This window comes from Homo sapiens, chromosome X (genome assembly GCF_000001405.40).
Source record: "Homo sapiens chromosome X, GRCh38.p14 Primary Assembly".
NCBI lineage: Eukaryota > Metazoa > Chordata > Mammalia > Primates > Hominidae > Homo > Homo sapiens.
In genome coordinates this window covers 107,355,100-107,366,006 of record NC_000023.11, presented here as the reverse complement: position 1 = coordinate 107,366,006, position 10,907 = coordinate 107,355,100, and the positions used below count along the sequence as shown (strand labels likewise).

Sequence of the window (10,907 nt, the reverse complement as noted above, 5' to 3'; positions counted from 1 at the left end):
CCGAGAGATCCGCTGTTAGTCTGATGGGCTTCCCTTTGAGGGTAACCCGACCTTTCTCTCTGGCTGCCCTTAACATTTTTTCCTTCATTTCAACTTTGGTGAATCTGACAATTATGTGTCTTGGAGTTGCTCTTCTCGAGGAGTATCTTTGTGGCGTTCTCTGTATTTCCTGAATCTGAACGTTGGCCTGCCTTGCTAGATTGGGGAAGTTCTCCTGGATAATATCCTGCAGAGTGTTTTCCAACTTGGTTGCATTCTCCCCATCACTTTCAGGTACACCAATCAGACGTAGATTTGGTCTTTTCACATAGTCCCATATTTCTTGGAGGCTTTGCTCATTTCTTTTTATTCTTTTTTCTTTAAACTTCCCTTCTCGCTTCATTTCATTCATTTCATCTTCCATTGCTGATACCCTTTCTTCCAGTTGATCGCATCGGCTCCTGAGGCTTCTGCATTCTTCACGTAGTTCTCGAGCCTTGGTTTTCAGCTCCATCAGCTCCTTTAAGCACTTCTCTGTATTGGTTATTCTAGTTATACATTCTTCTAAATTTTTTTCAAAGTTTTCAACTTCTTTGCCTTTGGTTTGAATGTCCTCCCGTAGCTCAGAGTAATTTGATCGTCTGAAGCCTTCCTCTCTCAGCTCGTCAAAGTCATTCTCCATCCAGCTTTGTTCCGTTGCTGGTGAGGAACTGTGTTCCTTTGGAGGAGGAGAGGCGCTCTGCGTTTTAGAGTTTCCAGTTTTTCTGTTCTGTTTTTTCCCCATCTTTGTGGTTTTATCTACTTTTGGTCTTTGATGATGGTGATGTACAGATGGGTTTTTGGTGTGGATGTCCTTTCTGTTTGTTAGTTTTCCTTCTAACAGACAGGACCCTCAGCTGCAGGTCTGTTGGAATACCCTGCCGTGTGAGGTGTCAGTGTGCCCCTGCTGGGGGGTGTGCCTCCCAGTTAGGCTGCTCGGGGGTCAGGGGTCAGGGACCCACTTGAGGAGGCAGTCTGCCTGTTCTCAGATCTCCAGCTGCGTGCTGGGAGAACCACTGCTCTCTTCAAAGCTGTCAGACAGGGACATTTAAGTCTGCAGAGGTTACTGCTGTCTTTTTGTTTGTCTGTGCCCTGCCCCCAGAGGTGGAGCCTACAGAGGCAGGCAGGCCTCCTTGAGCTGTGGTGGGCTCCACCCAGTTGGAGCTTCCCGGCTGCTTTGTTTACCTAATCAAGCCTGGGCAATGGCGGGCGCCCCTCCCCCAGCCTGGCTGCCACCTTGCAGTTTGATCTCAGACTGCTGTGCTAGCAATCAGCGAGATGCCGTGGGCGTAGGACCCTCCGAGCCAGGTGCTGGATATAATCTCGTGGTACGCCGTTTTTTAAGCCGGTCGGAAAAGCACAGTATTCGGGTGGGAGTGACCCGATTTTCCAGGTGCGTCCGTCACCCCTTTCTTTGACTCGGAAAGGGAACTCCCTGACCCCTTGCGCTTCCCGAGTGAGGCAATGCCTCGCCCTGCTTCGGCTCGCACATGGTGCGCGCACCCACTGACCTGCGCCCACTGTCTGGCACTCCCTAGTGAGATGAACCCGGTACCTCAGATGGAAATGCAGAAATCACCCGTCTTCTGCGTCGCTCACGCTGGGAGCTGTAGACCGGAGCTGTTCCTATTCGGCCATCTTGGCTCCTCCTCTCCTATTTTTTTTTTTTTTGAGATGGAGTTTTGCTCTTTTGCCCAGGCTGGAACGCAGTGGCACAATCTTGGCTCACTGCAACTTCCACCTCCTGGGTTCAAGCAATTCTCCTGCCTCAGCCTCCCAAGTAGCTGGGATTACAGGAGTATGCCACCATTCCTGGCTAATTTTTGTATTTTTAGTAGAGACAGTGCTTCCCCATATTGGCCAGGCTGGTCTCGAACTCCTGACCTCAAGTGATCTGCTTGCCTCAGCCTCCCAAAGTACTGGGATTACAGGTGTGAGCCACTGTGCCCGGCCCCCAACTGCACATGTTCTAATGAGGAATCTTTTCTGGATGGTGGATAATATGGTTTGGTAGTATTTTTCCGTCCAAATCTCATGTTGAAATGTGACTTCCAATGTTGGAGGGGAGCCTAGTGGGAGGTGTTAGTGTCATGGGGGCAAATCCCTCATGAATGGCTTGGTGCTGTCCTAGCAGTAGTGAGTGAATACTCACTCTATTAGCTCACACCAGATCTGGTTGTTTAAGAGAGCCTGGCACCTCCTCGCTTTTCTCTCTCTTGCTCCCCCTCTCACCAGGTGACATTCTGGCTCCCTTTCACCTTCTGCCATGAGTAAAAGCTTCCTGAGGCCCAACAGAAGCTGAAAAGATGCTAGCACCATGCTTGTACAGCCTGCAGAACCGTAAGCCAAATCTACCTCTTTTCTTTATAAATTACCCAGTCTCAGATATTCCTTTACAGCAATGCAAAATGGACTAACACAGTGGATGATCTTGTCATTATCCCCTAGGCTACATGCTTCTCTAGGTTCTCAGGTGAAAACACCACCTCCCTAAGAATTGAGTGTTCTTGGAATGCAGCCAAAGAACCTTTCAAGATATAGGAGAAACTATAGATCTTGGAAGGAAGAAATATAGATATTGAAAGGATCTTCAAGATCTATGAGGGCTGTTTAAATTGTTTGGGGTATATTTCCTCCTTTTCAAAACCCACTTCAACACTAGCTAAGAGGGAAGAAATTGGGGAGGGATGACTGCAAAAGGTTGAAATAAGCAATCTTCCATAGAGGATTTTTTTTTTTTGAGGATTTTTTTAAAAGCCAGTTAAGCCACTTAGCACTGTGGTCAAGGCAGTCAACCAAATATTGAATTTCTTCAGGAAGACCTATTCCTCCTCTTATACAAAGAACGTCTGCCCCAGATCTCTGTATGCAGGGAGATTAGAGCTGGGGAAGGCCTATAGAGATAGTGAGTGTAGATGTGGTCACTAAATCTCGGAGACTCTTTCAGAGCTCACTTGAGGTTTTGAAAGAGGTATGTTTAGGGAAACACAAATCAATGTGATTTTATGCAACAGGAAACAAATAATGTATGGAATTCATTATCCTCAAGAGTTAGTATAAGCTGAAAGTATGTATAAATACCTTTTTAAAAGGGTTAGATGCTTTCATAAATTTATGCATCGCTGGTTACTAAGGGCAACGAGGATGTTTTCATGGGAAGCCAGAAACAGAAGAGATATTAGATATCAGCTAATCTCTTCCCCTCCACCCCTCTACCTCTGTAGTGAGGGGGTATCAATACAGGACCTCTTAGAGCCGAAGGGGAGACTAGATGGGAAATGGGTGATTTCTAGTGGTCTCCCAGGTAACCCCCACCCCAACCTTTTTCTTCAAAGTTAAATTTTAAGAGAGGGAAGCGGGGACCAAACACACTTAAAAGCCTCTAATTGGCTAAAGAAGCCACATTGACTCCAGGTGTGGGGGACTTGGTGGACGGGCAGTGGGGCTAACATGCAAAGATGGGTAGTAAAAGGAGCCTGGCCAGGCGCAGTGGCTCAGGCCTGTAATCCCAATACTTTGGGAGGCCAACATAGATGGATCACTTGAGGCCAGGAGTTCAAGATTAGCCTGGCAACACGGCAAAACCCCATCTCTACTGAAAATACAAAAACATTAGTCGGGTGTGGTGGTGCACGCTTATAATCCCAGCTACTCAGGAGGCTGAGGCATGAGAATCACTTGAGCCTGGGAGATGAAGGTTGCAGTGAGTTGAGATTGTGCCACTGCTCTCCGGCCTGGGCGACAGAGTGAGACTCTGTCAAAAAAAAAAAAAAAAAAAAAAAAGCCTATTCTATATTCTAGCGGAGGCTCTCTTGGAAGAAATCAGTCTAATAAGGAAAATAAATAAGTGAGAATATTAAGAGTTTATGTATAGCACAATGGATATAAAATGAAGGTGTGGAAGGGATGAGTACTGTGTACCAAGAAGATGGAGAGCTGGGCCAACTGGCCTCAGATGTGAGAGAGACCCTGAAGAGAAGGACAGCATTTGGCTTAGACACATCAAAAGGGGGAACAATTAGCTCTGCCATCATCTAATTGGGGCCATGGAGGCAGTTTACACCTCACGTTCATTCAGGGACAATGTAAATGGTGCCCCCTGGAGTTGTGCATCTCAGGAGCACTCCTCAAAAATCAGCTACTCCAACTCCCCCATTTCCAGATGAGGAAGTGGAGGCCTGGAGATGTGAATGAGAGGACTACTCGGGTTGCACAGGTATTTTACGTCAGAGTGGGTCTCTACTTCCCCTCCACCACATTATCTTGCCATGGAGGTTGAGCTATCAAAGGCAGCCTGGTCCTCTTATGAGACACACCTAGAGACCCCTTCATCAGGGAAACAGCTGACCAACACATTAAAATTACACATTAGAATTACCCTCATTTCCTCAGCTGGATGTCATGCATTGACCAACCTGCCCGACCCTACATGGTAGTCCTGACGATTACAGAAAAGAGTGGTGGGTTAAAGAAACTGTGAAGCTAATCCAGGAAGCATCTGTTATGCTCTGATGTTTCTATCAGAATGACTTAGGACTATGCCAACCTGAAGCTGCCTGTGGGCCTATGAACTGGAAATGAAATCCCTGGGCCAGAGCTGTCACTCTGTCAGGTAGAAAAAGGAGGCTGACTGCTTTTGGCTACCTAGGGTCCACCAGAATTGAGAGGTGACTGGAATTGCAAAGCTGAAAGTTTCTGCTAGGAGAAAGGCAGCTGAGTGTGCTGTTTATTCAACAGGCACTAAAAATGAAGTTTGGCACCTCGTTTGAGAACTTCCAGTAGCGTGAAGAAAGCTGATTCATTTGTTCAAATAAAACCCAATTGTAGTACTGTTTAACAGTGAGATAACATCTTATATTTATAAACTTGTCTTATAGCCTGAGGGAGTCCACACCACTTTACAGACTTCAAAATCTGAGAGAAACTAGGACTATGTCTTCTAACACTGACATGCCCTCCCCTGGGGTCTGGATGGCAAGGGTGGGGAGGGATCAGCCCCTGCAGGAGCTTTACAACAAATTCTCCCCAGTGCAGTCCCACAGAGCAAGTTCCAGAATTGGGCCTCCTACTGACATACAGCAGGAGGGGGCCTCTGCAGGAGAAGGGACCCTGACCAGTTGGGAGGTGCACCAAGATTTTGCTTGGAGAGAGAGAGAGAGAAAAACAAAACAAAACCCAGTCTGAACTGGGTAGGGTGTGCAGATAGAGTGCCAACTGTTGGCAGAGGTGGTATAGTACCTGATCAAACTCAGAGGGGGGAATATTTCATCTCCTGACAGTCAAAAAAGGGCAAGTTTTAGAAATAAAGGACAATTCAGTTGTTTTAGGGCATTAAGCAACCCTCTGACTGCTATAGACAGGCCTAGCCTTAGAGTTGATGGCCTCAGCCTGACCAGTTTGGATCCCTGTCCTCAGGGCCCTTAAAAGCACACAGTTTATCCTCCACTCCCAGAGTGTTCCTCAAACTTGACTGGACATCAGAATCACGTGGGGAGCTTGTTTTATATGCAGATTCCTGGTCCCTCACCACCACTCCCACTCAGACTCACTAGGTCTGGGGTAGAATTCAGGAATTTGGGTTTTTAACAAGCATTCCAAGTGTTGTTGAGGATGCTACTCCTTTAACCACACTTTAAAAAAAATATTGGCTGGGCACAGTGGCTCACGCTTGTAATCCCAGCACTTTGGGAGATCAAGGCGGGTGGATCACCTGAGGTCAAGAGTTTGAGACCAGCCAGGCCAACATGGTGAAATCCTGTCTCTACTAAAAATATAAAAATTAGCCGAGCATAATGATGCACACCTGTAATCCCAGCTACTAGGGAGGCTGAGGCACAAGAATCACTTGTATCTGGGAGGTGGAGGTTGCAGTGAGCTAAGATCGTGTCACTGCACTCCAGCCTGGGTAACAGAACGAGACTCCGTCTCAAAAATAAATAATAAATAAATAAATAAAATTTAAAAATAAAAAAAAATTGATTCCAGATTCCACACCACCGGCGTTGGAACAAATCTGGGTCTGCAACCCTTGCAAGTAACTCAGCACACAGTGAGCCTTGGTTTCAGTCACACTTTGCTTTCGGGGAAGAACTGAGATCTTGCCAGCACTTTTCACAGGTTGCTCTGAGAAGATCCTGGACATCTTGGGGCACAGGAGAGGTCCCTGCTGTGTAAAATTTAATAATGAGGGAAATTCAGACTATAGTTTCTGCTGAGTAAAGAATGAACCACACCAAGTCCACTAGGGAGTAGGGCAATTACCACTACCCTCCCTCTCCCCTCTCCCCCCTCCCACCCTCACAAGCCACTCTAGGGACAACTTTCTTCCCTTGGAGTCAATGAAGTTGGCTCTTTCCTGCCTGTGACAGCTTCATAATGTCTATATAAATGGGGTTTGTGGGGAACCCTGGGGTTTGTGGGGAACCCTTTGGTTGAAGGGGGAGGAAGTAGGGATTTTGCTTTGAGGCTGTGTTGGCAAAGCAAGCAAAGGTTTTTACTCAGCATGATGTTTTCTAAAGCTGCTTTTGTTTATGCTTAACATTAAAACTTCATTTGTGCATGTTAAAGAGTGGGGAGGGAAAAGCCAATGGAAATAATGAGGGACTAAGGACACTTTCCCATCTAACCTCTGCCATTGCCTCAGCCTACAACCATGACTCTGGCTGAAAATAATGCCAACTATGTGAGGGCTGTGAGACTAGAACTAGGTCTTATTCTCTCCTATCTGGCCCACACAGCTTATCTCCCTCCTAAGCCATCTTTCAGAAATATACCAATTAAGCACAAAAATAGAAACTCTTGAATTGGAGCTTGTCCATTTTCCTCTTTCTATTGTTCCTCAGTTTCCTGTGGCTTAGAAGACGAGATTGAACACACAGCCTGGGGGAAATTTTCCCCACTGGCCCCAGCACTCACTAGTGCCTGGAATTCTCACACAAGTCTGATTTCTTCCTAACACATGACTCCAAGAATCCCTAGGTAATTATAAATAGCTCTGATGGGGCGAACACATAGTATCAGTCACTAAAACTGCAGTGTGAATGTGCTAGCCATCTCTTTTCCAATGGGATAAAAGGGTCTATGAATCCAGAGACATTCAATTATGCCACACTTTAATGGAATGTATCTACTCCACCAAAGTCAGCTGTAAAATGACTTCTGCTTCTTCATTAATTGTTCTCCTTACTTTCCTTCCTTCCTTCCTTCCTTCTTTTTGTCTTCCCTCCCTCCCCTCTCTCCCTTCTTCCTTCCTTCCTCACTCCTTCCCTCCTTCCTTCTCTCCCTCTGTCCCTCCAGTCTTCCAGTCCTCCCTCCCTCTCCTTCTTCACTTCTTCCCTGTTTTTGTAGATGTCCTTTAGCAAGTTGAGTAATTTCCCCTCTATTCCTAGTTTTCTGGGTGTCTTTATCATGAATGGTCATTGGATTTTGTCAAATCCTTTTTCTGCATTTATTAATATGATCATATAATTTTTCTTCTTTTGCTTGTTGATGTGATAGATTACACTAATTGATTCTTGAATATTAAACCAGCCTTGTATACCTGGAATAAATCCCACTTGCTCATAGCTTATTGTTTTTATACATTGTTGGATTGGATATGCTAATATTTTATTGAGAATTTTTGCATCTATATTCATGAGAAATGTTGGTCTGTAGTTTTCCTTTCTTGTAATGTCTTTGTATGGATTTAATATTAGGGTAATGCTGGCCTCATAGAATGAATTAGGAAGTTTCTTCTGCTTCTGTTTTCCAGAATAGATTGTTGAGAATTGGTATGATTTCATCCTAAAGTATTTGGTAGAATTTGCCAGTGAGCCCATCGGGTTCTAGTGCTTTCTGTTTTGGAAAGTTATTACTTATTGATTCTGTTTCTTTAACAGATGTAGACCTACTCAGATTACCTGTTTTTCCCTGTGTAAGGAAAAATGTAGATGTGTCTTTTAAGAAACTGGTCCATCTCACCTAAGTTATCAAATTTGTGGGCATAGAGTTGTTGAGAATATTCCTTTATTTTCTTTGTTATGTCTATGGGATCCCTTCTACTTTTTACCCATTCACTCAAGAAATATATATTCAGTACTTACTATTAAAAACATTAGTTCAGCATATATTTATTAAATGCCTATTATGTGCCAAGTACTGTGATAGGGCTGGGGATAGCATGACATTGACGTCTTGGAACTTACTTTCTTGTAAAGAAGATCAAAATTGAATGAATAATAGACATATCAACCAATTGTAATTGTGACTAGTGCCAAAGAAGGAATTAAACAAGATTGGAGAGAACTTCTTTAGCAAGTGTGGGCAGGGAAAGCCTCTCTAAAGGAGGTGACATTTTAGCTGAGAACTAAAAACTGAGAAGGATCCAGCCTTGAGAAAAGCCTAGGAAAGGGTATTCCAGGCAGAGGAAACCACACGTGTAAAGAAAGACACTCCAGAAAAGGAAGAGATCAGCATGTAGGAGGGAATGAAATAAATTCAATGTGTCAGGAGCATAGAAAGCAAGGTAGACCAGAAAGGTCTAAGAGGTGGGCAGAGGCCAGATCCTGTAGAACCTTATAAGCCATGGTAAGGAGTTTGGATTTTATTCTAAGTGGAATGAAGAGCTTTTGAAGGGTTTTAAGCAGGAGAGTGACATGATCTAATTTACATTTGTAAAAGATTACTCTGTGATCTTTCCTCACTGCTGTGGGGAAAATAGAATAGAAGGGAGCAAGAGTGATGTCACAGAAATCAGTTAGGAGCTATTGCAGTAATCTAAGCAGGAAGAGTTGGGTGGCCTGGATTTGGGCAGGGGGACAGTGACAGTCAAGATGGAGAGAAGGAAAAATGAATAAATGGGAATTTGTTTTGCCTGGCACTAGACTGGGCATTTACAAACTGCGTGAACTGGGCAATCTCACTGCCTCCATCCAGCCACAGGAGGTTGCCTTTCTCTACCTTCAGTTTAAGAGTTTCTTCCTCAAGAGCCAGGAACCACAGAGTCACCCCACTGGTTCCACACTTTACTCCAATAAGCTCTGGGAGTGACTCTTATAGATCCCTGGGCCTATCAGTGACATATGTTCAGGGGATCACTGGTTCCATTCCAAACAGGTGTTTCTACATTCTGGGCACATCCCAAGCAGTGCATACTCTGAGGATCATTGTTCTCATCTCTCCCGGGTGGGTGACATTTAGAATGATTATTGTTCAGTAGCACTCAGGCTTCTACTAAATGGTATGACAGAAGGAAGAACTTTGACTATCATGGTGACTAGACAGTGGAATGGATTGTCAGAGGAGGTTATGAAGGTTCCTTCAGCCAGACAAGCTGCTGAAATATGAAGACATTATGTATCAACGTGAGCAGCATCTTTATATTCTAAGGGTGGGTAGAGAAAGCAATTCAAGTGACAAGAGGAGTAAGGTGGAATGGTGCTGTCAATGCTAGGTCATGGGTGGCTGCCAAACAACACATGCCAGGACTCACAGGCAGGCTGGGCCAGCAGGCAAATAGGGAAGCTAGAACGAATGACCAGGGAGCTAGTAAAAGTGCGTTATGAGGGGGAAACCAAGGTCTGAATCCAGGGTGTAAAGCCAAACTGGAGGACACAGACAAGGTCTGGAGTCTGAAAAGATAGGCAAGAGTGAGGCTGCAGAGGTCCAAGCCAGGCAGAAGGCAGTGTCAGGAGAAGCCCATTCTAATAGTGGTGTTGGTCTCTGGCTGGGCTTCAAGCCAGGAAGAGGGAAATAGGTGGAGAGAAAATCAGAGTGGGAAAAGTGTCTCCTGAATCAGAACAGCTAGGTGCAGCCACATCATAGCCAGCCAGCCTGTATCAGTGGAACCTAGAACTGGTACCAATCTGCTTTCTGCCCTGTTTTCCAGCTTCCCGAGAGAGTCAGAGTCTCATAGCTTTCTGTGACTTCAGCACAGTGCTAGCCGTCTAGGGGACCGGGCATCACTGGGTAATTTACTGTCCCTGTTCCTTGCACTTCTGTGGCCGGTGGATGTCCTTGTGAGCTGGGAAACAGGCTGAAAATAAAATCGAGTTCACAACATAATCTCGCATAGAAATTTCTCTGTTTCTGCCCCTGCCTGTATTGGCCCCTCTTCAAAGTCTTCCACCAACCCAACTATTTCTGCAAGTCTCCCAGAGGTCTGTCCCAAGGTTCATTAACAAAACCCCTTTGCCTCCCCAGTGGCTTCCAGCATTTCCTCTGTTCCTTTTCTAGCTCCCTGGGGTGATAATCCTCTTCTAATGCCCATAACAAAACCATCCATACAATGAGGTGGCTGCTGCTGCTGCTGCTGTCACAAGCTGCCGCCTACCCAACTGAAACTACTAAAACCAATGCTTCTGATGTGGCTTTGTGTACTCAATGCCCCACAGAGATTTTAGTGAAATAGTCCTTTAAATTGGTACTTATTCTTACAAAGCTCTCTCTGCTTAGGACTTAGTATGAGATCTGGGAGGTGAATCAGAAGATAAGCAGGATAGTGTCCTCTGGTAGGTATTGTTTTGTTTTATTTGTTTGTTTTTGGTCTTCCCAGCAGGCTTTCTCTCTCCCCTTCTGTTCATGATAGACTCTACTCCTGACCTTAAGGGTAAGCACGTGAAGTAGACCTGGACAAACACAGAGTATCCATTCTCCTAGTGACAGTGATTGGACCAAATTATAGGCACATTACCAAGGAAAGCCAATCAGAATTGTTCCCTGGGATAGATGAATGGACTCTGGGAGGTAGAAATTTTCTTTGCTAAGCTGTAGCTGACGGCAGCTGTGTTTCCTGCAATATGGAGAAGACCAGTCTACATCAAGAGAGTGAGACAAATGGGAAAGGAGATGCAGAGGCAAGCAGAGATAAAATACGGACACAGTTCTGACAACGTTGAATCCCTAGGCTT

At 45.2% G+C, this 10,907-nt stretch overlaps 2 annotated features.

Moving 5' to 3' along the window:
- Positions 837 to 1,465: an enhancer, noted in NCBI's record as "OCT4-NANOG-H3K27ac-H3K4me1 hESC enhancer chrX:106607772-106608400 (GRCh37/hg19 assembly coordinates)". NCBI's record gives its function as "activates a minimal SCP1, AML or CMV promoter by ChIP-STARR-seq in naive H9 embryonic stem cells {active_cell/tissue: H9 hESC(naive)}" and the evidence as "EXISTENCE:reporter gene assay evidence [ECO:0000049][PMID:30033119]".
- Positions 9,972 to 10,907: an enhancer, noted in NCBI's record as "OCT4-NANOG hESC enhancer chrX:106598330-106599265 (GRCh37/hg19 assembly coordinates)". NCBI's record gives its function as "activates a minimal SCP1, AML or CMV promoter by ChIP-STARR-seq in naive H9 embryonic stem cells {active_cell/tissue: H9 hESC(naive)}" and the evidence as "EXISTENCE:reporter gene assay evidence [ECO:0000049][PMID:30033119]".